A 27,647-nucleotide genomic window follows, 5' to 3' on the forward strand; every position below is an offset into this window, starting at 1 on the left:
ACTGTTTGAAGTCAACTGTGAACAAGAGTCCATTGCAGCTACCAGAAGGGCCAGAAGTAGAGGCATTGGCAACTTATCTCAGGGTTTCAGCAATGGAGTGGGTTTGAGATTGTAACTACATCTCTAACAGAATGACTCAAACATGTGGTACAGCTTTCCCCTTTCCTTATTTCTGACCCTCAGTATGAAATTTCCTAAGTCTGTTTCATTCTTAGCTCTCCTTCAAAGCTACTCTGTCAGAAATTGAATGGTATAGCAATCCAGATAGGTACCCCAATGTCCTGAAGAAGTTAAAGAGCCTGTGAAAAGCATTTGACCTATGACCAGATGAAAGCATTTGAGAATGCTTGCACATGAAGATAGGATAGGTGGGGGAACTGGGGTAAGCTGGGAAGAGTTAGTGTTTAAGCTCCAACTAAGTGCCAGGCATTTTACATATATTATTTAATTCTCACATAACTTAAAATTAGTTTCTGTGATCACAAATTAAAACACTGGGGCTTGAATAAGGTATGGACTTTGTCCCAAATCTAACAGCTAGTAAATTACAGAGCCATAATTTGAATGTCTATTTGCCTCCAAAACCCATGCTTTTTGCACTAAGCTTTGTTGTCTCTAGCTGTCAATAGAGATTTAATGCATCTATTGGGCCTTCAATAGAACTAAGAAGTATTGGAGACAACAAACACCAAAACCAGGTTGCCATAGGTAACACTTGATCCTAATGGAGGGGAGAGAAATAAGTAAAGCAAAAGTGAAAATATGAGTGAACGGAAAGACCAAAGGAAACAATCGTCCCTGGATGCTGTTCATTTATCTGTTGGATACCAATTCTTTAACCTCAGAATGTCAATTAAGCAAACAGTGAATGATCATTATGTACGGGACCACGCTAGGCACTTCAGAGAACCCAAGGACCAGCAAGGTAGTTCCTGTCCTTCCAAGTCTACAATGAGATGTAGGTAGGAATCATGGAAGGGGGAAAGGGTTAGGAAAAGTAGATAAGAGCTGAATTACTGTGGTCTATAAGGTATAAAGTAACCCCAAACAGCCTCTGAGTATTCCATTCCATGAAGGGCACTCTTTCCTTTTGGCCTCAGGACAAATTTTCAGACATAGGAATGAGGTTTTACCCAAGTGAGGACTATCCAAGAGTGTGACCTCTTCAGCCTTTTTTGTAGGTACTTCCTTGTAATGACCTTGGCTTGAATTCTTATCTTTCTAAAAATAAATGTTAATTATTATAAAAGTAATTTATACTCATTGAAAAAAATTAAATAATGTAGAAACATGGAAAATAAAAATGAAAAATTGTATTGTCCTCTTCTTCTCAGTGGCACACACACAGACACAGATGGACACACATACATACACACACACACACACACACACACACAAAACACATATACATATTGTACATAGAGTGATAATTGTGTATATTGGATCGTATTAGATCTATTTTTCTAAAATCAGCTTTTAAAAAAACTTAACAGCATATTTAACTTTTAAGTGCATATCCAGAACAATCTGTCATCTTTCTTCCCAAAAATAAAAGAAACAATGTTATATATAACATTTTCTTGTCTTGATAGTTATATGAGTGGATATTTCAGTTTTGGACTTAAAATCTGTTTTAGCAACAGTAATGGAAATGGTCAGGCCATAAGATGAAATATAACTTCATTGGAATGATCGTTTTGCTGATCTAATTGGTTACAGGAAAGAAAGGACAAATTTTCAAAGAAATAATGTTCTATTGTCTTACACCAATAAAATAACCCACAGAAAGTTGTTCACAAAAGGCTGTAACATTTTACAGCCTTCTGAATGGTTCTGAACGATGTATAAATGCTTTTAGAATTTCTTCAAATATTTTAATTGCATTTTATAGTGTTTTGTTATATCAGACTTTTACAGGATTGACTTTTGAGAATATTTTAATCTGGAATGTGGAAAGATCAAATGGAAGTAATTAGGTTCCATAAAAATTTGCTAAGCTTTCATAACATAGACCTTTTTGGAAATCCCAAGTGATTTTATTGATATGTAGCTGTGGGTGCATTTTAAACTCCATCCACAAGGTGTTTTTCTTCAATTTTGTTTTTAAATTGGGTTATAATTACATACAATAAAATGCACACATCTTAAGTGTACAGTTCAAAGTGCTTTAATGAATGTATACATTTATGTCACCAACAACAGAGCTGAGAAAGTATTACAAGGCATTTCTTTTAATTTAGGCAAATGTCATAGTGACTGACTGGTATGGGGCACATGGAGATGATCCATACACCCTACAATACAGAGGGTGTGGAAAAGAGGGAAAATACATTCATTTCACACCTAATTTCCTACTGAATGATAACTTAACAGCTGGCTACGGATCACGAGGTAAGTGGGACCAATAAAACAATAGCCATTGGACAATACTACTTATAATATTCTGTGCTTGGTGCTGAAAGGGACTCACTCACAAAACCTGAAACTTGTCAAGGACTTACCACTCAAAGGGGGAGATAGGTCATATGCCCATGCAAAGATGAGGGGCTAAAGTGAACTCGAAAGAGTTTAGCACCAGATTAGTGGCCCAGAGAGGAGTGCTATAAGAATTCAATCAAGGAAACGTCATTTAGAGTCAAGGGTGGTCAGAAATGTCCTCACAAAGGAAAAGGTCTTCAAGATTGAACATCATTTTGATAAATGGAAAGAAGGGAGAAAATAGTGGGAAGACTATGAAGAAAACTGTGGCAGCAGAAAAATTAAAGGCATATAGGAGAGACAGAGACCCTGATGATGGTGCAGGGAGACTGTGGGCAGTGGGAGAAAACGTTGAAACATACATGAGGGCCAGGTGATGCACTAAAATGGCCACATTTTCAAGTCACCACTCAAGGTTTCTAAGCACAGGAGTGACTCCATCAAAGCAGTGTTTTAAGATTAATCTGGCTTCCTCTGATCAATGAAGGAGAAACTGGATATCAGGAGAATAACTGGGAGAAGTCGAGGTATGAGGCCACAAGACTTAAAAATGGGTGGAGACAGTGAGATGGGAAGGATAGTAATAAGGACACTGAGGATTTCCTATGCGCTAGCCGCTCTGTGGTTTCCTTTTCAAATGTTATCGTACTTAATTCTAGCAACTCTAAGCGATGAGAAATACTCCAGAGATAAAAAACAAAAAGAGGTCTGAACTGCTGCAGAAGGAAAGGCAAGAGGCACGTGGAGACAGCATTAAGGAACAAGGCACACACCAGGTTTTTGTCAGACATGGAAAAAACCAGCTTCAAGAAGAAATCCCACAAGTCTGGATCTAGGCAAATTCATTGTGAAGAGCAATAGACTATGCCAGGGAAAGTGGTTCAGCCTGTGGTTAGATATTGATGGCTGGAGTTTGGGAGAGAAGTCAGGGTCATAGGCCTAGAGACTGGTATTTAGTGAGTGAGATCTGAGGGAGAAAATAGTAAGCACAGTTCGCCAGTCAAGGACTATCTATCCCAATCTTTATTTTTTGTTTTTGATTTAATGTAACAGTAGTGCCTTTCAAGTGATGTCTTAATTTTCTTTTTTATCCCTAGTTAAATCTAAACTAGGGTTTTGTTAACAAGGATTTTGTTATCCTCTGTATAGTTAGCAGGAAGTGGAGTGAAACACTCCATAAAATACACTTTACAAAACACTTTATAAATCTTTAGAAAAACGTAGTTTTTTTTCTTTCCTGGTAACCTTGAGATGCTGATAATCTCTGCTCAAGCATGATTTCATCAGCACTTCTAAATTTCATGAGTAGGCACAATCTTTCCCTCAACACTCACAGCTTGGACTGCTACCCTCCCTTCCTTTGCCTCGAGGTCCAAAAATTACACAATATGCCACAGCCTGAGTCAACTCAGCACACACTTCCTGAGTTCCCGGAACTTAAAATAATTCAGAAAAAAGAAATGTGTGCTTTGGGAGGGGAGTTCATCTGGAAAGCTTATATGGGAAAGCTGTGGTCTGAACTTTGAAGGGAATGTAAGATTTTGAGAGAGAGGAAGTTCTAAAGGATCTCATGCAGAGGATGGGGGTTTCCCTGACCTAGGAGCTGTAAAATACACATAAACATGGAGAATAAGGGATAAAATAAAAGAGAAGGGACCATCCAGGCTGGGGAGAACATTCTGCAGTCTCCTTTTTTGCTCCTTCCTCCTTCCCTAGCTCCTAGGTTTCAACTATTGCTCTAGATAGAAGAATTACCTGCAAGAAAAAAAGCAGGTCTGCTTGGATAGCTCAGACAGAAGATTAGGAAAGCTTTATTTGCCTATCTGGATATGCTTCTTTCCCTTTCTCCAAACCCTGAACTTAGAGGCCTCTACAAAGCTGAATAGAAACCTGTTGGGCAGCTTCACTGGGGAGATGAGAGGATGTGGGACTACTCACTAGCTTCAAATAGATGTGCAACAAGTAAATTACTGCATTTACAAGACCAAACATATTTTCATGCTGCCTTTTTTATGGTGGTAGGTGGTGGAGTAGGAGGAGATGGGAATAGGATAGGGGAGAGGAAAAGGGGAGAGAGGGAAGTAACTTAAACTCTTTGGTCATTCCAAAGAGTATGTGTGGTCAAGAAATGTTACGTCTTCACTAGTTAGCAAGGCACATTGCTGAGATTTTAGAAGCTCAAAAGCAAAAGTTCTTTCTTCCGCAGGCCGAGTGTTTGTCCATGAATGGGCCCACCTCCGTTGGGGTGTGTTCGATGAGTATAACAATGACAAACCTTTCTACATAAATGGGCAAAATCAAATTAAAGTGACAAGGTTAGTACTTTTTTTCATGTTATAATTCATTATTTATTTGACTCTAAAATTGCTTATAACTTAAGCAATTAAATAATTGCCTAATTTAAGCAATTAATTTAATTGCAGCTAAAACTTAGCTGATAAGAAAGAGATCCTTTCACTTTTCAGTTCTTAAGTTATATGACATTTTTCTTTAAATTGGTATTTATGTGGTTCAAATATCAAAACAATATAAAAAGTCATGCTTGTACCTGTCTTGCTTGCAGCACTATCTTCACTGTTTCCCCTCATGCCCTCTAAGTAACCACTTTGATTAGTTTCTTGTTTATTTTTTCAATATTTCTTCAGGCAAATTCAAATGAATAGAAACATATGTTTTTCCTCGCTCTGTGTTTTATAATTGCATAGTGTTCCATTATGTGACTATACCATAATTTATTCAACCAGTCTCCTCTTGGTGGACACACAGGTTGTTTCCCATCTTTTGTATTATCAGTAACACGCAGTTCATAGCATTACACATGTGTCATTTCTCATACGTGCAGACAGATTAACATATCAAATTCTTCCAACAATTACTGAGTCAAAGGGTGATTTTGGTAGCTATTGACTGATTCTTCTCCTACAATTGCCACTGTTTTACATTCCTATCAACAACATTTGAGATCGCTTGTTTAGGAAAGAATCCTGTTAAATATCATCATTACATGTTCATTATCTTTTTTTCCCCTGATACCAAGTGGAAATGAACTCAAAGGAGCACTGACCCAGGATCTTGCCACTCATGTCCTTCCTTGGGCTTCCCAAAGTCCATCTGGATTTCCTAGTATCTTTTGCTTTGACCCTATTTAGTTGTTAAAGCCCTTGTTAATACAGAACCCCTCCATCAAGATAAAATGCTTTAAAATAAAATAGAGTGCATTTCTAAATCAGTGAACTTTCTTAATGAAGCAGTTTTTTGTTTGTTTTTGTTGTTTGTTTGTTTTTTTGTTTGTTTTTTGAGACGGAGTTTCGCTCCTGTCGCCCAGGCTGGAGTGCAATGGCACGATTTCGGCTCACTGAAACTTCTGCCACCTGGGTTCAAGCAATTCTCCTGCGTCAGCCTCCTCAGTAGCTAGGATTACAGGTGCCCAACACCACGCCTGGCTAATTTTTGTATTTTTAGTAGAGACAGGGTTTCACCATGTTGGCTAGGCTGGTCTTAAACTCTTGACCTCAGGTGATCCACCAGCCTCAGCCTCCCAAAGTAATGGGATTACAGGTGTGAGCCACAGCACCCCGCCAGTAGAGCAGTTTTTAAAGTTTTGTATATATCTAGCAGGCTACAATCCTTGTAATAATTATATAAGCTAGTCAACAAGAAACATAAGTGTTTCTAAAATAGACCTAATTCCCAGTTTCTCTTTCCATTTTTAGGTGTTCATCTGACATCACAGGCATTTTTGTGTGTGAAAAAGGTCCTTGCCCCCAAGAAAACTGTATTATTAGTAAGCTTTTTAAAGAAGGATGCACCTTTATCTACAATAGCACCCAAAATGCAACTGCATCAATAATGTTCATGCAAAGTTTATCTTCTGTAAGTATGCCCTTGGAATGACACACTCTTGCAGGATTCCTTCTCTTCCCATGTTTCAAGTATTTAAATTATAAGATAATTAAGATGCACTATACTTTAGAACTTGGGGGACCCTAGAGTTCATCTAGTTTTTATCTACAGATTTAAAAATTGGAACCCCCAAGATAATTACCCAAATGATACCTTCAGGAAAGTGACTATTTGCTTTCCTGGGAGGTTTAACAAAGGGACTCTGGGGACCACAAAATAAACTGTTCTTATGGTGGTGTTCTTGTATTCTTTCATAAGAAATTACATTGGGTTAATGAGAGTGATATAACAAATGGTTATAATTCTCTCGTTTGAAGTAGCAGACCACTCTGTATTTGAAATGCCTTTCCTCAATCTCTTTCCTTTGTTTTGAATAGTCTAGAACTTAACAGTAAGGTATCACCAGGAGAAGTCAACCAACTCTGCTTTGCAGAAACCCAACCTTGTCAATATTCCATGCTAACTAACTGACAAGAGACTAGCATATAAATCCAGAATATTATTTTTTAAACTATTAATTAAAAAGAGTACTCTGTCATGGGCATCTCATACTTGCATCCTCTGGCCAACTTATTTTCTCTCTGGATGAAGCAGCCTGGAACAGCCAATTCTCACCAGATGCATAGTCAGAGAGCATGGAATCAGAAACGAGGGAGTTAGGTGATTCAGAGGTTAGTAGCATCAGCCTTCATGACCTGATATATCTCTCAAAGTTCACAAAAGCCTGTAAGTCACATCTGTGGGTCATCTCTTCACAGATCTGGGGGTACAGCCCACACATGCCTCTGTGGAGTTTTCTCTTTGTGTCCATGGCTGACCAATGCCCCTTGGATTGACATGCTATTTTATTTCATTCTGGTTTTAGTCAGGACTAGAAGTTATTTTGTAACTTTAAGACAATTTTTCATATTTCTTGTCCCATACATTATGTTTCTTATTTATAGCTTTAATATCTGATACTAACCTAATGCATTCGATCCACATTATTTATGACTAGGTACTATCTTCACGATGTTTTGAAAGACCTACTCATAAATATCTTGTCAGAAAAGTTTTACAATCCCATAACCATAGTCATGAAATGGAAGAAAAAGAGTTAAACAACGCAAAGCAAAACCAGATTCTGTTCCAGTCCCTGCACCTTCCTAAGAAACTCATGTCCTTAAGCAGTTATCAACCTTTCAAAGCTTCAGCTTTCTTTTCTATGAAGTTAGAGCTGAGACAAGAGAGGCTATTCAGTTGCTTCTAACTCTAAGTTTCCATGGCTCTGTTAATGGGAAGTATCGACTCTTTGTAGGAATAGAGCCACTGGGAATAGATGGTGATGCATTACTTAGCAATGCAAACCATATTTTTAAGTGGGGTATTGACATAGGTTCAGTATCATTTAGTGAATTATATCTATATTTCTGTAAATTATATCTATATTTCCAAATTGAGTGGGGGTGGGGGATCAGGAAGTAAATTTAAGTTGTTTATCCCCTTATCTATTTTTACAGAGATCAATATTTGAGGTAGAAAAATATATGTTGACTGATCAACAAATAAAGGTGCAGTGGTCATTAAATATTATTCCAAGGAGTAGGCTGATCATGATAACTTCTTCTGGCTGTTTTCCTAATACAATATTGTGCTAAGGGAAGAGGGAGATTGTTTTGTTTTGTTTTTAAGAGTAAGATTATGTATATATATACACATACATGGTTTGTTATCTAATACCAATAAACTTTAATAGAGATTGCTCTCAGAACCACAAAGATGCTAGTGTTCCCAGCAAGAATGCCAAGGTTTATTTGTAATTTGATGTCATTCTTGAAGGAAAGAGGTATATCACTGTACCACTTTTGATTTCTTTTCTTTCAGTTCACCTTTTCTTTTACCTATAGTTCCTTGAGAATGAGAACTATGTTTGCTTTGGGAGAAGTGCCTCTCTTTATTAAAGACTGTTTTTATTTCCAGGTGGTTGAATTTTGTAATGCAAGTACCCACAACCAAGAAGCACCAAACCTACAGAACCAGATGTGCAGCCTCAGAAGTGCATGGGATGTAATCACAGACTCTGCTGACTTTCACCACAGCTTTCCCATGAATGGGACTGAGCTTCCACCTCCTCCCACATTCTCGCTTGTACAGGCTGGTGACAAAGTGGTCTGTTTAGTGCTGGATGTGTCCAGCAAGATGGCAGAGGTAACATTTTGAACGAAAATGAATGTAAACATTTATCATTTTTTCTATCAGTTCTTTATTATCTCAATTTATTTTAAGTTCTGGGGTACATGTGCAGGACGTTCAAGTTTGTTACACAGGTAGACATGTGCCATAGTGGTTGCTGCACCTATCAACCCATCACCTAGGTAGTAAGCCCCGCCTGCATTAACTATTTATCCTGATGCTCTCCCTCCCTGCTGTCACCCAGGCTGGAGTGCAGTGGCACAATTTCAGCTCACTGCAGCCTCGACCTCTAGGGCTCAAGTGATCTTCCCATCTCAGTCTTCCAAGTAGCTGGGACTACAGGTGCAGGACACCATGCCTTTTCTATCAGTTTTTAATTATTTTTATTTTCAGGAGGTAAGGGTGAGAGTTGGAGGAGGCAAAAGGTTTGGAATAGTCAAGGACATCCTATTTTTTGGGGGTTGGGAGGAACAAATTCAGAATGTGGCCAAAAGTTGAGATAATGCAGATAAATGAAATCCACAGATAATTTCTAACCCTTATTTTTGCTACTAATTGAAACTCTTTCCAACAAAGATCCTTTTCCAAAATTCTTACCTATAATGATCGAAAATTCTTATGTATAATGAAAAGTTCCTGCTGGCTACATTCTACTCACTGGTAAATATCCCTGGTTGAGGAAGTAAACTGTGAATTTGCAGTGAAAGTGAATGTCCATTATATGGCTATTTTCCATGTCATTGTGTACAGAAGACCATATCTCAGTCATCTAGCAATCTAGCAGCCTCCAGCTGCTTTAACTGATTAAAGTCTTAGTCTCCACAATCAGGCAGCTGTGTTTTAATCCTGGCTGCTTCACTACTGTGTAATATGTCTTCGTTATAAAGAGCATGATGGCCCCTCTGAAGCAGCTTTCTCACCTGTAAGATAGGGATAATAGTGCCTACTTTTATGAGAGTCAACTTTTAAAGTTTTAGGAAATCTGCAAACCAGTAATTAAACATAGCTATTAATAACAATTAAATGATATAAGCTTACAATAAAATATATGTAAACGAATATATGAAATACTCAAAACTCATCACTTCTTAATTTTTCCTACTATTTTTTACTATTATCTATGCCCAGGGTCAGCAAACTATGTCTCACTACCTGTTTTGCATGGCTCACAAAATAAGGATGGGTTTACATTTTAAATGGTTAAAAAAAAAAAAGAGGCTTTTTCATGATGTGTGAAAAGTATATGAAATTCAAATTTCAGTGCCCACAAATAATAATTTTATTGGAATATAGCAATGCTCATTTGTCAACATATTATCTATGGATACTTTATTGCTACAGTAGCAGAGTTGGGGAGTTGCAACAGAGAACTTAATGGCCAGCAAAGCCTAAAATATTTACTATCTGGCCCTTCACAGAAAACTTCTGCTGATCCCTGAGCTAAATTCTTGAGGTTATTTCTGGTCTATTGCATCTGTATGGATGTGCTACTACAATTTCATCCCAACTGTGCACTCAGTGACATCACATTGACAGCAGGAAATCAACCATGGTTTCACACATGGAAGAGTATTTACCCCGCAGAAACTGGCAGTTGCTACGAATCAGGCCTGCCTGCCTGCCTGCCTTCCTCCCTCCCTACCTCCCTTTTCCCTTCCTTTATTTTATTCTTCATCAGAAAACTGTTATTAAACATTTACCAGTATACCACTGTCTACTTCATAGGGTTATTGAGAGGGGAGTAAATGAGATAATATGAAATTTTTAGTTCAAAATAAATAATAAGTGGTAGCTGTTTATTTTAATAGTACTTGTCCAAGGAGAGAATTTATCCCCTTGTGCTCTGTGGATCAATAGTCCTGGAATACTTGCCTTTTTGGCTGATATCTGAAAAACTAAAAACTCCACTAATATAGCCAGCATTTGAATAATTTTGTTATGTTGCATACCTGCAGTTGACTAGGGCATTTTGTTGTTGTTGTTGTTTTGGTTTTTTTTTTGAGATGGAGTTTTGCTCTCATTGCCCAGGCTGAAGTACAATGGCACGATCTCAGCTCACCACAACCTCCAACTCCCAGGTTCAAGTGATTCTCCTGCCTCAGCTTCCCTAGTAGCTGGGATTACAGGCATGTGCCACCACGCCCAGCTAATTTTGTATTTTTAGTAGAGATGGGGTTTCTCCATGATTGGTCAGGCTGGTCTCGAACTCCCGACCTCAGGTGATCCGCCCACCTTGGCCTCCCAAAGTGCTGGGATTACAGGCATGAGCCAACATTCCCAGTGGCATGCTTTTCTTAAACATGGTCTCAGAGTAATTTATATTGGCTATCTGCCTGTATTGAGCAAGAATGATGGAATGAAGAGGAAAGATGATGGTACTTGAGAGTATCATCTGAAATATGTAGAAGAGAAATAAGCCCAAAGTAACAAACTCATGGCAAACCAAACTTTCCTCCCTTTTCCTGCCAACAACGTCATTGAACCATTATTGCCATTCATTATCAGATGCCTACACTGCACTGGCCTGAGGGATATGGAGATGAGAAGAACAGCATCTCTGCTTTGAAATGCTTATAGCTAATGAGGGACACAGGACACACACATGTAAATAGATACAATACAATGTGACTAGGCTCCACAGAGATGTGAGTTACTATGTGAGCACTGAAGAGGCAGCACCTGGCGCTGTAGAAGAAAGTGGTCAAGGAAGGTTTCACTGAGAGAATCAATTTGGAGTTCAATCTTGAAGGATTCAACTAGGCGCTTGCTAGGTTGGGTGATGTAAGGAAAGAGAAGAAAGGAGGACATTTGTGGGAAGAGAAAAGTGTGTGCAGTGGCCAAGAGGCAAAAAAAGAAGGATTTGTTCAAGGGAAGGGCATTCATTTGTATGACTATAACTAACACTGGGTAGATCTGAGAGGTGGCGAATGGGATAGAGACATAGGTATGGATTTGAGAGAAATTTAAGATATTGAGTTGATGGGACCTGTTCAAGAATATGGAGGCTGGTAACAGAAATGGTAAGAGAGTCCTGGGTTGCTGGCTTAGCTAGCTGGGAGTAGAGATCAAGATTGGGAGTGATGATCTGATGACCATGAAGATGGCAATAGCTATTCTATTGTGAGTGCTTACTCAGTATCCATTTTGCAGATGAGAAAACTGAAGCTAAAAAAAAAAAGTAATTTTACTATGATCACATAATTAGCAAAAGTTGAAGGCAGAGTTCTAAGTCCTTGTTTTACCCCCTTTACAACTTACTTCCCAATATTGTAAGAGAAACAGTATTAGAATTCAAAGTGTAGAGTTGCCATCTTCATGGTTGTCAAATCATCACTCCCAACTAGTTAAGCCAGAAACCTGTGTCCTAAGAAGTGTGAAATGCAGGTCTAGATCCACCCAGGAAGATGCTTGAGTTGGAGATAGAGATCAGTGTCATCCCTGAGTGGGTGGTCATTGAAGCTCAGCTTGCTGCTCCTCTCTTTTCCCAGAGCTTTCAAAACAAGTTACCCTAGTGAATTAATCAATAGCATCACCTGCCCAAAACTGGTCACTAATATTACTTTACACCTGGTTAGCCCTTCATGGTATAACTGTACTGCCATATATGTATCTCACTTGATCCTCATGGCAATTCTAATTTCATAAACAAGAAAGCTATCATCCTCACTCTACAGATGAAGTACCCAGCCTAAGGTGACCACAATAGCAGAGGGTAGTGCCGGGGCAGATCATGGGTCCTCTGACTGCCACTCCTCTCTAGCAAAGGTCTCTTTGCAATGTTTTCTTTTACCTGGACTGCATTTTTAAAACAGCAGTTACAAATTTCGTCTCAGCTGGGTTCATGAATCTTTGAATTCTAAGTTGGAGTGAAATAGTGGGGATGATGAGAAACAGAGAGTGGTAAATTATGAGCATCTTGTTGGAGGCAGAGCCCCAAGCCACTCCCTCTTCCCTGAAAGCATGCATTTTTGAGCCTGCAATTAATCAAACAATATTCTAATATTATGTTACTCTTTAAAGCTCAAAAAATTATGATCCAACATCTCTAAAGAATTAGCAGAGATGTTTGCTAATTGAGTTACTTCATCATACTTTTGTCTACTAACCAAATGTTGCCATTTTCTTTTTTCCTTTTTGGGACATAGGCTGACAGACTCCTTCAACTACAACAAGCCGCAGAATTTTATTTGATGCAGATTGTTGAAATTCATACCTTCGTGGGCATTGCCAGTTTCGACAGCAAAGGAGAGATCAGAGCCCAGCTACACCAAATTAACAGCAATGATGATCGAAAGTTGCTGGTTTCATATCTGCCCACCACTGTATCAGCTAAAACAGACATCAGCATTTGTTCAGGGCTTAAGAAAGGATTTGAGGTACAGTAGAGCATCCTAAGCCTTGGATCACCATCATTTTCCTTTCCCTCTTTTAGTATACGAGGTTTCCTCTGATGATGGGCAGTTTGTTACAGGGTGGTCATAACAGCCTCAACTATGAAAGTAATGATGGATTATCTTTCAAGTCAGGAACCATGCCTTATTCACCATTGTACTCCTTGTGCCTAGCAAAGTACATAGCATACAATAGTTGCTTAATAAATACTTGTTGACAGAATAAGAAAATAAATGAATACAATGGACGAGACTAGAGGACCTAAACAACATCTGGGCATTTTCTAAACTGTTCCTAGCCATTCTGGGCCATTTTTACCTTTCAATTTTCTTGTCAAAATCAGCATGTCTAGCTTCTGTCTATAGTCATTCTAGACTTCACGCACATCAGAACCAATTAAGGCAACACATCACAATTAAGGCCAGAAGTGTGTTTCAGGAATGACAGAGTTTATTTAAATCAACACAAGTTTGCATTCAGCATCTGGGATGCTTATCTGATAGCAAACAAGACACATCAGCTATGGTTTTTGCTGCCCATGGTCTAAACCTTGGCTATCTATTGAAATCACCTGGGGATTAAAAAAAATACTAATGTGTGAGTCTAACCCCCAGAGATTCTGATTTAATTGATCTGGGATGTGACCTGACCATTAAAATTGTTTAAGTCTCCACATTTGATTCTAACGTGTAGCCAAGACTGAGAACCACTGCTCTAGGTGGTCACTTACTGGATCTCAGAGGCAAGCCTCTCACACAATAATGTATTCCACATCTTCTATGATGGATACAGTTCTAAACTATGGGGACACCTTGATGATTCAAGCAGGAAAAGTCCCTGCTCACAAGCAAACTGGCAGTGGAATGTAGGGTGACAAGTGCTGTGATGGGGTGAGGTAAAACTTGAGTGGAGATGGGCGTGGGGTGTAGGAGCTACAGTGGGAATTTGGATGAGAGTGAATTCTTTTGCTCAATAAAACAATTTGAACTACACTTCCTTCCAAGTGACTAATTCTCTATGTTCAGGTGGTTGAAAAACTGAATGGAAAAGCTTATGGCTCTGTGATGATATTAGTGACCAGCGGAGATGATAAGCTTCTTGGCAATTGCTTACCCACTGTGCTCAGCAGTGGTTCAACAATTCACTCCATTGCCCTGGGTTCATCTGCAGCCCCAAATCTGGAGGAATTATCACGTCTTACAGGTAATAAACTTTTAAAAACTTATCTTTTGGAGCATGTCCCTTTAACTTGACTATCCAAGACACAACTATGAAACTCATTATATGGCTTAATTGAAAATACAGAAATTGTTTTTAAAAAACGCACACACATATTGCTAGAATCTGTCAAAATTTTGCTGATTTTTTTTTTACATTTTCCCTAAAGGTTCCAACTATATACATCCAAAAAATAATATTTTATAATTCTGTGTTAAGCCAGTGTGAGCATGCATAATCATGGAGCTAAAACATATGTTTAAGATTAAATGCTTTGTGGGCGGGCGCGGTGGCTCACACCTGTAATCCCAGCACATTGGGAGGCTGAGGTGGGCAGATCGCTTGAGGTCAGGAGTTTGAGACCAGCCTGGCCAACATGGTAAAACCCCACTTCTACTAAAAATACAAAAATTAGCAGAGCATGGTGGCGGGTCCCTATACTCCCAGCTACTCGGGAGGCTGAGGCAGGAGAATCACTAGAACTCAGGAGGCAGAGGTTGCAGTCACCTGAGATCACGCTACTGCACTCCAGCCTGGGTGACAGAACGAGACCCCATCTCAAAAAAGAAAAAGATTAAATGCACTAACTTCTATAATAGGGACACACACAGTGTTTTAAGATACATATCTTTTTATACTAAATAAGGCACAGAATAATTTTATCTTATATTCCTTATTCAATAAAAAATGGGCATGCTGATTTGACAAATGAAAGGTTTTATTGAATTATCTTTAAAAGCAATGTTTTCAGAATATAAATGTAAACATATAGGGATGTAAATAGCAATTAACCTAAATTATCTTAAAATTACCTTAATCTGAAGACTATTCAATAAATATTTATTGAGTTCTTATGTACTGTACATAAGTTCTAGGCCCTGGCAATACAGTCATGAATAGAATAGCTGAAACCACTCGCCTAGGGCCACTTACCATGTGGTTGTATAGGATGTCAGGCAAAGCAAGTCAAGCACAGCTCCCATTTCCCCAAAACAAACACTCTAATGCAAAGAAAGCTTGTTGGAAAAGGCTTAACATTTTATTTTTGTTTTATTTTACCCATTTTAATAGTGAACACTCCTATCATGTATTTCAGGAGGTTTAAAGTTCTTTGTTCCAGATATATCAAACTCCAATAGCATGATTGATGCTTTCAGTAGAATTTCCTCTGGAACTGGAGACATTTTCCAGCAACATATTCAGGTCAGAATTTTCTCAATGTTATATTTCCAGGTGGGGAGTGGGAAGGGAGAAGGAAACAAGGGAAATCAACGAATTGTGCTACCTGCTTCATTAACCTTACTTGAATATGTAACAGCTGTGTATGGAAGGCTTTTAAAAGGCTGCTTGGCATCACCAGAGCCAGGCTTTCAGCCCTAGGAGCCATTTACCACAATTGCCACCTCAGCTTTTCAAAGTCTGCGAGTGGAGCTTGTTCCTTTCTTGTGGCTCAAGTGCAGATGGGGGTGTGGCAGAGGCAAGGTGCAGAAGAAAAATAAGGAACTGTGAATTTACTTTTAGTGTTATAGTAACTTTCTGTCAATCAGAATTCATCTTATTTTTGCTTCTTCAACATCTTTGAAGCTCTTCCTTGTATAAGGGGTATCAACTATTTCATTAAATTCTACCACAAATATCTAAATATCTCTTTGACTACCACAACTTACATGATTTTGCTCACCAAAGCTTCCTCTAGTTAAGTCCTTTTCATAGGGCCACTTTTTTTTTCTTTCCAAAGTACTTTAAAGATATTTTGGACATAACTGAATAATGTGTTGAACAAAATTTCATCTATAGTTTCCTCACAGATGGCAAGTGTGCCTGCCAAGTTAATGGCTTGATGTGACCAATGCAGCCTGTCAATTTATTTAACGTGAAGATTATATTTACACAGTGAAGGCAATAAACACAATTCCACAATAAGAAGTAAAAATGTGAATTATATATGACAATATCTAGTACAGATTAGGCTACAATTGGCTCTTCTGATAATGCTCAATCTTTATGCCCTGTGACTTCCTCTGCAACAATAGGGAATAAAAACAAATGTTTAAAGAAGTAAAAAATAAATTTAACAAAATATTACTCATATGGGATCAAATAAGCCTTAACGTTCCCAAACTTGCCCCCCTCCCGACAAGCTGTTGGAGTCATTAGCTCCATTGGAGTGAGGTGGGAACTACATGTAAATCTTCTTCAACAGCCCAGGGCCCAGCATAGCATGTGGCCCAGCCATCAGCAATCCATAAATATTTCTTAAATTCATTTGAACAAACAATTCACAATGTCTTTGCTGTTATCCACCAATATAATTTTACACGCTTTGCAGATTTGAGCAATTAACGAAGCATTACTAATGTGCTTATTTAATAAATGTAAATTTTCAAAGTTATTTAGAGACTTGTATCCATTGGAAATACGCAGTAATTAAATGCAGGGGCTCTGGTGTCAGGCCCACTGGGTTTTATCACGGTTCCATTCCCTTGGTATGTGACATCGGCAAATTACTTCTCTAAGCCTACTCTTCCCATCTCTAAAATGTGGATAACAATAGTATTTATCACAGAGGATTTTTATAAGGATCAAGTGAGATTGTGAAGCCTTTAGCATGGGGCCAGGCATACGTTTGTACTCTGTACATGTTACACATGTGTGTGCACACACGTGGCTTATTGTGAATGGCTAAATAATTTTTTTTTTTTTTTGAGATGGAGTCTTGCTCTTCTCCCAGGCTGGAGTGCAGTGGCGCGATCTCAGCTCACTGCAGCCTCCACCTCCTTGGTTCAAGCAATTTCCCTGCCTCAGTCTCCCGAGCACCTGGGATTACAGGCACATGCCACCACACCTGACTAATTTGTTGGTATTTTTAGTACAGAAAGGGTTTCACCATGTTGGCCAGACTAGTCTCAAACTCCTGACCTCAGGCAATCCACTCGCCTTGGCCTCCCAAAGTGCTGGGATTACAGGCATGAGCCACTGTGCCCGGCCTAAATAATTTTTTAACGTAGCAAAACCATGCCAAAACCCAAGATTTTATTTCTTATCGAAATATATAAAAGGATCTGGACAGATTATATACAAATTAATAAAATTTAAGCATATTCACAAATGAAAATTTTTAAAAGCTTGTCATTGTAATTGCTGATCTGAGGCCAATGTTGGTTTGGATAAGAGATAATATGAGGACAGCTAACATCTTTTAATAAAGAATAATGAAATGACACTTGCATTAACTACAACAAAATGTTTTATACCTACTGTACTTAAATAACATGCAATATTTTGCTTTGCAAAGTATTTTTTATGAAAAATGATGTATAACTACAGTACCTGTCAGAATTAAATTATTTTTATTTTTGCCAATTAATTGTTGTTTGTTAAAAAAGAAAAAGATGGAATGATTATGCATACACCAGAAACTCTCATATATATCTTCTCTTTAACAGCTTGAAAGTACAGGTGAAAATGTCAAACCTCACCATCAATTGAAAAACACAGTGACTGTGGATAATACTGTGGGCAACGACACTATGTTTCTAGTTACGTGGCAGGCCAGTGGTCCTCCTGAGATTATATTATTTGATCCTGATGGACGAAAATACTACACAAATAATTTTATCACCAATCTAACTTTTCGGACAGCTAGTCTTTGGATTCCAGGAACAGCTAAGGTAGGTGTTGTGAGTTTGTTCCTAAGGACAACGTTCAACCAAGTTTATGATTTTCAGCTGAATCACATGATTAAATGCATTGTGTAAAGAAAATCTTGTTTTAATATATCAAAAGTTTACTTTAAATTTATGAGGCCATTTTGTGAATATTAAAAATTTAAGAGGAATAACTAAGGTATATTCCCAGTTTTATATATTAGACACCAAATACTTCAACACTGAAAATTAGTATTTCCACTAGTATTACAATTAATGTTTTTCTAGCCTACATATTTCTTTACATAATCCATACAAACACACTTTTCTATATGCTTAGAAAAAAATCTCTACTTAGAATTTATAATATGAATACATGCAATGCATGTGGTTTTTAGCATCTACTGGGTGTGCTGGGTTTTGTTCCAGGTACTTTACAATAAAATGCCATGGTAAGAGCATGAACAGGGTACTATCAGAACATACAAGAGGGTGGAAGGAAGAATGCTTCCTGGAAGCAAAGACATCAAAATGGAAATATAAGGAATAACAGGCCAGAGGTGGGTATGATATTGTGGGCAGAGGAAACAGCATATAGAAAGACTCAGATAAAAAGAACATGGCTGTTCATAGAACTAGAGTAGTTCAATAGAGTAGGGTAATCTATAAGTTAGGGATGTAGGCAAAGGAAGGAGAGGGGAGTAGTGAGGCTAGACAGGTAAACAGGAGCTGTATTAGCAAGGGCTTTGCACAACAGTAAAGTGAACAGGGGCTTGAATCCTGAAAGTGAAAGGGAACCACTGATGGTTCTAAGGAGAACTGTAAGTTGATCAGATTCACTCTTGCACTGCCTGAATTCAGTGCCTCCTCACATGCTGCCCCACCCCCACTTTTGTTGTTGTTGTTGTTGTTGTTGTTGTTGTTGTTGAGATGGAGTCTCGCTCTGTCACCCAGGCGGGAGTGCAGTGGCACCATCTCAGCTCACTGCAACCTTCACCTCCCAGGTTCAAGCGATTCTCCTGCCTCAGCCTCCCGAGTAGCTGGGACTACAGGCACTTGCCACCATGCCTGGCTAATTTTTGTATTTTTTGGTAGAGATGAGGTTTCACCATGTTGGCCAGGCTGTTCTCAAACTCCTGACCTCAAGTGATCTGCCTGCCTCTGCCTCCTGAAGTGCTGGGATTGCAGGCATGAGCCACCGCTCCCACCACCTTCTTGACAGCCCCTTAACTAGCCTTCTTGACTCTGAACTGCCATCCCTCCAGTCCATTCTTTACCTCTATAAAAGCGATCCTTCTGAAGCACAAATCAGTCTGTCTTTTGTTCAAAACCTCCTTGGTGGTTTCAGAATAAAATCCAAGTGTTAACCTTTTTTTTTTTTTTTTTTTTTTTTTAGCTTAGAAGATTCGCATTTATTCCAGATGGGAGGCTGAATCTCTCAGTTGTAGATTTTGACACATTGGCACTATTTTTGTTTCTGATTTATTGCCTTGGCCATAAGGTCAAAGGCAACAATAAAGTGTACTTTCATTAATATCACCATGGACTTTCGAGTATTAATATGACAAGAAAAGACAACTATTCATTTTTTTTAAGGGGATTGGACACACAAACTTCAGGAGGGAAGAATCCCCTCTCCCATGGTAGAATCCTCTATCTTGATAAAATGGTTGCTTTATTGGTCAGATTTTGGACTTGGATCGTCTTTGTTATAATATTAATAGTACAGAGCATGTAAGATTTTCTGCATTCATTTGAAATTCCTAATACCAACCATCTTTTAATTTATAAAAAAATGAGGGAAACTTATAATAAAACAAAAAATACTACCCTCACAGACGATTAATAGCATGCAATCTATGAAATATTACACACATTAAAAGTCTCCAATTACTGTGTGCCTGGCTCATCACACAGTATCCTTCCAAGACGATCTATAGAATTCAAAACTGTACAAAAATTTTAAAATATGCAGAAAACCCAAAAGGTATTTTGTAAAACAAAGATCACACACACATTAGTACTAAATAGGGAAAAAAAATCAGCAGACCCATGGACTCCCCCTGCTCCCAACTGCAGGTCTTCAGTATAGAGGATTTCACCAGTGTCTTCTGCACTCCCCCAATCCAGTAGGGGTCCAACAGACCAGCTGCATTCCTCCTGACTGCCACCAACTCTGTTTTCTGCATAGTTGTCTTCTCTGCTTCTGTAGTGGTGAGCTGTGGGAACTTTTTTTTTTTTTTTTTTTTTTTGATGGAGTCTCGCTCTGTCACCAGGCCCAAGTGGTAAATCTTACATACCAGACCCTTCATGTTTTGGCTTCTACCCAAGCTTCTCTCTTAACTTCTTCGATGCTCTGCTCCTATTGAACTTTTCTCCAAATTCATCATGTTCTTTTCACACCTGTGTATAAGGGCCAGGGACACTTTACCTACTTCTTGCTCCCCTTGCCTGACCTCTTGGTCTGGATTAGATGCCCTGTATCAAAACATTTATTACACTCAGAGAACTTTTTGATGTGGAAGTTCCTGCCATGCATCTGTCACTAATGTTATGATTCAAAAAACAAAAACAAAAAAACATAGTCCTTGAATCATAACTTAATGGAAAATAGTGAAGCTCATGAATCCCAATGAAGAAAGATGGCTAGGGTGTGGTGCATCTGAACTCTCCACCCTGAGTTACGCTTCAACCCCTTGCTTTTCTGTTCTTCCTTCTGCTTTGTTGTGTTTCACTTGTTACTTCTGGGGGTTTGATAAGGAGCAGCAGCAGAAGTCAGGGAAAAGCAATATATGTATAGCTTAATCAAAAGGACGAATTTCTGCTATATTGTAATTTTAGTCTTTTTCTTTCAGATTTTCTTTTGTAGGTTTTTCCCAGGCAGATAGGCAAGAGTAGTGTTTAGCAGTATTTCTATAAATTACCCAAATTAGATATTGTATAATCCTGACCTATTAAAAATAGTAGGTCCTTTTCTTGGTCCCTAGTAGTGTATGTGTTTTTTGTTGATTGAGATTTCTGAGTGTGGAGTTTTTGGGAAGTGGAGTGAAAGAAGGATGTTGTTGCCTTTTTAGTCCACGGTGTCCACATAAATTATAATGGTCCAATTAATTTGATGTAATTTTCTCAGTTATGAAAAGAAATGAAAAACATTTAAACGCCTTTTTGGGGAAGGGGCTCAGATTAATATCTGTAAAGTACTTTGAAGCTGGACACTATTATTGTTATGTTCTAAAAATGGGAATCAAGATGTATCCTCCCTCACTCCAAATAAATTCGAGGTGTAATTCCCTAAAGAATTATCTAGAAATAAAGGTGACTTATGCTATGAAAGCCATGTAAATACAAATTTATTCATCCCTTAACCAATGCTACTTTTCCTGGCATCTTTTTGTAGTATTTTAAAAAGTGCAACATCAACAAAACAAGAGCAAAATTCTCCAGAAGTTTTGATGTATGCTTTAAAATTAGGGTTGATTTTTTTTTCACACTTTCCAAAACAATAAGACTTGTTTTACAGCCTGGGCACTGGACTTACACCCTGAACAATACCCATCATTCTCTGCAAGCCCTGAAAGTGACAGTGACCTCTCGCGCCTCCAACTCAGCTGTGCCCCCAGCCACTGTGGAAGCCTTTGTGGAAAGAGACAGCCTCCATTTTCCTCATCCTGTGATGATTTATGCCAATGTGAAACAGGGATTTTATCCCATTCTTAATGCCACTGTCACTGCCACAGTTGAGCCAGAGACTGGAGATCCTGTTACGCTGAGACTCCTTGATGATGGAGCAGGTAACAAGGAATGTCATGACATTTTATCATCTTCTCAACAGCTGTTGTGATATGATGCGGTAGTATCAATATTAAGCTTATCTGTAAGATTCCTTGAGTTCAATTTTTTTTTAATCTTACAATATTCTCAAATTCTTATAGAGTCACTGATATACTGAATAGCTACAGGTTAACATGGAAAAAGAGAGTCCTTGTGAGACTCCTCATAGTGTCTATGTTTGAGCAAAGGGTGGGAGGCAGCCGCTGGACACCTTGGTCCTGGCTTCCACTTGCTGAGGTCATACAGGAGCAGGCTTCTATGTCCTTATGACATACTTATATTCCTCTAAGAGTCACTAGCTTTATTATTCACTGAAGTAATCAGATTGGACTGTTAAAATAGCAAATGAAAATCAGAAGGGAGGTGCAGTGACAGCGAACCCACTTTTTCCCTTTGGACCCCAGTTATGAAGAAAAAATTGGAAACTGAACTTGTGACCTATAAGATGACCCTAGACCCAAGAGGCTGGGTTGAAGAGAGGGCACAGCTCAGTTCTAGCACAGCCAATGCCTTTTACGTGTGTAATTTGGTCCCAAGAAGACCCAGCCTGCAAGCCTAGTGGAATCAGAATAGAGAAAAGTTCTCATTCTGCACATACAGCATTCAGAGCCTCGTCATCATACATTATAGATGGTATAGCATCCAGCCAGGTAAACAGCAGCACTTGGGATCCTTTGAAAAACAAATTCCTTTGTTGTTCCATCTTTCCTATTTGGTTATTTTCCTAAATTACATTCTTAGAATGGCAGTAGACCTGCCTCTTGGCAGCCCGAAGTGTTTGATCTGCTAACAAAATTATATTCTTTTGCCCTGTTGTTTCAAAGTTAATCTTTTTTCAAGAGTCTTAAGTTTGGTAGCCCATCAGTATCTTGCCATGGCAATCATGTATGATGTGCAGGAAAACAAAAGTTCATTCAAAGGGTTTTGGTTCAAGTCCACCACTGGGGGATACCAGAGAAGTCTTCTTGTTTTGCCTGTTGGATTGGATCCAAATGAACTTCTCATGCTCTGATGGCTTATCCATGGTTGCACCTTTCATTTTTTGTTTATGGTCCAAAAATGTACTTTTGCAGAATGTTTCTCTCTTGCCCCACCCTGTGGGCCAGCCTGGAGAACAGAGCCTACTCCCCTAGGGAATATCGTCTGATTCAGCTCAATTGGCTTTTATATTATTCCTTGGAACTATTTTATTTGTTTGATATCTAAATGTATGCACTAAAAAAAGGAACAATAAAAAATACTGCTCAGGCATCAAAATGTAAATTGTTTCCCCTCCAATCAATACTTAACACGCATGTACATAGTTGTTTAATACTTTTATAATGGAAGCAGTATTTATTTGCTCAGTAAATGAACTGTAATAAAACTTATACCTCTGAAATGATTTACAATTTAAAATGTACTTTTTCATGCATACTCTCAAATAATCATCACAACAACCCTGCAAGATAAGTTATCTCCATTTTATAGATGAGAAAACTGAGGCTCAGAGACATGAAGCCTCATAGCTACTAAGTGACAGATGCAGGCCTTCAAATTAATTCCTCTGTCTCCCAAGCCAATGTTCTTTCCCCATTTCTTTCTGCCTCAGTTATTAAAAGAGGTGGCAGTGGTGACTTTAATATGGAGAGATTTTCCTTTGTAATTTCTCAACAAAGATAAACCTTATTAATCATTAAATCACTAAATACCAAGATTTGATTTCTTACAACAGACAAAAAAGAGTTCTAAATCTATCTTGATAATAAAATGTTTAGCACTTTTTATTTCATTTAAATATACTCCTGCTTTTCTTATGTTAAGGAGCCCTGCCTTTGCAGTGGGGAAGAGGGAGATTCTGGGGACACTTTAGCAATGATACACTGCTGGTATGCAGGGCTGTGTGTGTGGTATGAAAACTGAATTGACCTCTAGGATAGAGGACAAGCTGCTTGCCCACTATGGCCACCTGTACTTGAATGGCAAAAGTGATCTATACTTGGGCTAAGCTGGACTTCCCTCTGCTGCCCTGGGGTCTAGGCCTTCCTGCCATTGAGTCATGATTTTGGCTTGGAATTGAACTGCTCTCTGAAGATCAATTTAAAAAGAAGGAAGTACATCACTGGCTAACCTTTCAGAATGCCCCCTGAAGCAAGGCACAGTAGATGCTACCAAATTCTGTCAAACTCCAGGTCATCAAGTCCCCTAGAATCTAGAAAAACAGTTCCAGATACCCTCTAATGAGGAAATTAAGTAATTTCACACTATTTTATAAACTAACCAAAGTTTTTATTTATTAAAGGTCCTTAATCAAGTGACTTCAAGGCATTCATAAACCCTTGAAACTGTATGAAAATGTGTATATGTGCATATATATTTATTTCCTAGGGACAAAATAGCTTTTATTCATATCTCAAAAGGGTCAATGACTATAAGCAACCTGAAGAATGTGCTTGATTTCTAGAAAAAACTAGTATTATTTTCAATGATAAGTACAAGAATGTTAAAGGTGATGATTAAATGTTTTATTAGCATGGTACAACTTATTCACCTTTAGAAAATCATTTTACTGAGGTAAGAAATTACAGGGAGAAATTATGGACCCATTGGATTTTTTATCACCTGAGAATGTAAAAAGTAGATAAGAGCATGATAATATATCTTATATAGAAAGAATAAGGGGAGTAAATCTCATTTTTAATGACTTAAATATTAGTAATCTACTATAATAACAAGTGTTGACACTGTGTTTTTTATATATACAGGTGCTGATGTTATAAAAAATGATGGAATTTACTCGAGGTATTTTTTCTCCTTTGCTGCAAATGGTAGATATAGCTTGAAAGTGCATGTCAATCACTCTCCCAGCATAAGCACCCCAGCCCACTCTATTCCAGGGAGTCATGCTATGTATGTACCAGGTTACACAGCAAACGGTAAGAACCATTAGCACTGTTATTTGAGTAACATCATTTCATGTACATATCTCTGATGGGTATGTGTGTACTGGGGTGGCAGGGAGTGAGAGAAAGAGAGAATTTCAAAACTCTTTACGCTTAAGTCCATACATAATTTGTTGACTGTTTCTTCAATCCTCAGTGATTCATGGTAGGGGGGTAACAGGAAGGCGATAGGTAATGCCCACAGATTATACCTAACTTCATTTTAGTCATTATGTTGACCTCTTTCTTGTTTCATCAGAATTACTAATAGATAAAGAGATTTACTGGGTTTTCTCAGTTCCTGCTTCCGTGTTTCCTCTATAGAGGTTTAGGCAAGAGAAAGAGGCAAAAAGTTATTAGCAGTTGAAAGAAGGAGGCCAACAGCCCAAACAGTCCACACAGGAAATGAGTTCCTAAATAAATATGAGCTTGGGTGTTACAGGCAACTAAGTGATTCCTGAAGATGTTTTGCTTTTCTTCAAGAAAAAAGTTCAAAATAAATGGAAGATAGTTATCTTTTTAACACCATTATAATAGTTCCTGATAGGAAGCGGTGGTTAAAGCATAATAGACCAACAGAAATATATCATGCTACAGTCTTTGAAAACAATCTCAAAAAAGACTTCTAAGCATTTTTATTTCCAAAAATGCAGATTCTTTATAAATATTATTCATGTATTTTAGAAGTTATAACTAATCATTTGGACTATTCCACACCATGATTCTATACTTTTTGTTTACTTTTCAGTCCTCATTCTTCCTGACCTCACCAGTATCAAACACAGCCAAGATCCCTCCTTTGCCATTTCCTGGTTTCTATGATACCTCACTCTCCTGATTACCTCCTATTTTCTGGAATTTTTTATCAGGCTCTTTTTCCAGCTCCTCCTTTTCTACCAGGCCTCTAAATGTTGTCTGAGTCTGAACCTTCTTACTTTACCATCTGGAGCCACATTGCCTGGTTTTGAAACCCAGCTCCTCCATTTACTAGCTGTGTGACTTTGGGCAAGTGACTTAGCTTCTGTGTGTCTCAGTTTCATCATCTAAAAAAATAAGGGTAATAATTGTACCCTCTTCGTAGCCTTGTTGGGAAAATTAAATATCTGATACATGTAAGGCCTTAGAAAAGTGCCTGGCACATAGAAGGTGCTCAAAAAGTGCTACTTATCATTATAGTAATAATTATTATTAGTTAATCTCATTAATCCATATGCCTTTAATAACATCTATCTGTGTATAACCTCCAAATTCATAACTTTAAAATTATTAAATTTAGCTAAAATCTCTTCTTTAAGCTTAAAATCCAGATCTAAATGGCTCATTAACATCTTGAATTAGATGTTTTACAGGAATCACAAACTTTGTAATTTAATTTTTGTTCTTTTTCTCCTTATCCTGCTTCTCCTCCCAGCTTGCTCATTTTAGAAACCTGGAAGCTTTTTTTTTTTTTTTTTTTTTTTTCATTTTAAACCATGTTTCTTTTCTTCACCATTCTGTATTCATATCCATCACCAGCTTTTGTTTGACATCTGCAGAAGACATCTTGAACTGCCACTTTCTTGCCCTCCTCTCCACACCATCTCCCATCCCAAGCTGCTATCTTCTCTCATCTGGACTATTGAATGGCTAAGTGGCCGCCTTGTTGCTTGCTGTGCTTTAATTCATTCTACACCAAGCAGCCAGAGTGTCCTATTAGAAAGCAAATATAATTTTGTCACTTCCCTTCTTCCCTGCAGCATGTAACATTAAAATCTAAAATCACTTTGGACCATGAGGTCCTGTGTAAACTTCTCTCCTGCCTCATCTCAAACGACTCTCCTTGCTTTTAATTTAGCTTTTCTAACTTGAAACCTCTTTTTCACCTCAGGGTTTGCTGTTCCCTCTACCTAGAATGTTCTTCCCTCTCTTCTTTAGCTGGACAGTTCCTACTCAACCTTTAGGAAGCCTTTCAATGTTACCTCTTTGATACCACGCTAAATTACTGACCCACATTATTTTCTTTCATAGCATCCTGTCTTCTTTCCTTCTTACACTTATCATACTTTGTAAATATATGTTTATTAATATGATTAACATGACTATAAATTCCATGAGGGATACTGTTTTGTCTGTAATTATTGGCACAGCATATGCCCTCCATAAGTATTTACTGAGGCCGGGCACAGTGGCTCACTCCTGTAATCCTAGCACTTTGGGAGACAAAGGTGGGCGGATCACGAGGACAGGAGTTCGAGACCAGCCTAGCCAACATGGTGAAACCCTGTCTCTACTAAAAATACAAAAATTAGCTGCACGTGGTGACGGGCACCTGTAATCCCAGCTACTCAGGAGGCTGAGGCAGGAGAATTGCTTGAACCTGGGAGGCGGAGGTTGCAGTGAGCCAAGATTACACCACTGCACTCCAGCCTGGACAGCAGAGTAAGACTCTGTCTCAAAATAAAATAAAATAAAGATCTACTGAGTGAATAAATGGATGAATTAGTGTTCAAAGTATTGTACAAATACACTCAGTTATTCTAGAGATGTAGTAAAGAAAAAAAGGTTTAAGAAAGTCTCACTGTGTCAAGAACAAGCTATTCAGAAGCTTTGTAATTTGTCATTTTGCCTTTTTTTTTCTTTTTTGTCTCAGGTAATATTCAGATGAATGCTCCAAGGAAATCAGTAGGCAGAAATGAGGAGGAGCGAAAGTGGGGCTTTAGCCGAGTCAGCTCAGGAGGCTCCTTTTCAGTGCTGGGAGTTCCAGCTGGCCCCCACCCTGATGTGTTTCCACCATGCAAAATTATTGACCTGGAAGCTGTAAAAGTAGAAGAGGAATTGACCCTATCTTGGACAGCACCTGGAGAAGACTTTGATCAGGGCCAGGGTAGGTTTGCTCATTTCATTACCTATTTTTCCATAAGACAGCATTTCTAATAACTAGGTCAGGGGCTAGTAGAACTGAAAAAGGTACAGAGGATTGTTGTGAAAAGCTCTGAGTTGCTGATCAGGCTTTAAATCCTGGAGTCCCAGAAGGACAGTGTGTTGCCTACCCCTGGAATGAGGAGGCCCTGGCTAACTCACGGATACTAACCACTCAGAAACCTTG

At 38.4% G+C, this 27,647-nt stretch overlaps 1 protein-coding gene across 2 annotated transcripts in view; it reads left to right on the forward strand.

Annotated features, from left to right (window-relative positions):
* Positions 1–27,647, forward strand: part of CLCA2 (chloride channel accessory 2) — a 32,383-nt gene that overhangs the window by 2,007 nt on the left and 2,729 nt on the right. The window contains exons 3-13 of one of the 2 annotated variants that reach the window (NM_006536.7): positions 2,241–2,391; positions 4,685–4,793; positions 6,192–6,351; positions 8,341–8,568; positions 12,699–12,929; positions 13,971–14,148; positions 15,260–15,366; positions 17,610–17,834; positions 21,331–21,601; positions 24,386–24,556; positions 27,192–27,425. In NM_006536.7, the coding sequence (NP_006527.1) occupies positions 2,241–2,391; positions 4,685–4,793; positions 6,192–6,351; positions 8,341–8,568; positions 12,699–12,929; positions 13,971–14,148; positions 15,260–15,366; positions 17,610–17,834; positions 21,331–21,601; positions 24,386–24,556; positions 27,192–27,425 (2,065 nt within the window). Of the gene's footprint in view, positions 1–2,240; positions 2,392–4,684; positions 4,794–6,191; positions 6,352–8,340; positions 8,569–12,698; positions 12,930–13,970; positions 14,149–15,259; positions 15,367–17,609; positions 17,835–19,206; positions 19,350–21,330; positions 21,602–24,385; positions 24,557–27,191; positions 27,426–27,647 lie in introns of those variants that run through there. The other variant, XM_011542448.4, reaches the window with a different exon arrangement.

This window comes from Homo sapiens, chromosome 1 (assembly GCF_000001405.40).
Source record: "Homo sapiens chromosome 1, GRCh38.p14 Primary Assembly".
In the NCBI taxonomy this organism is placed as follows: domain Eukaryota; kingdom Metazoa; phylum Chordata; class Mammalia; order Primates; family Hominidae; genus Homo; species Homo sapiens.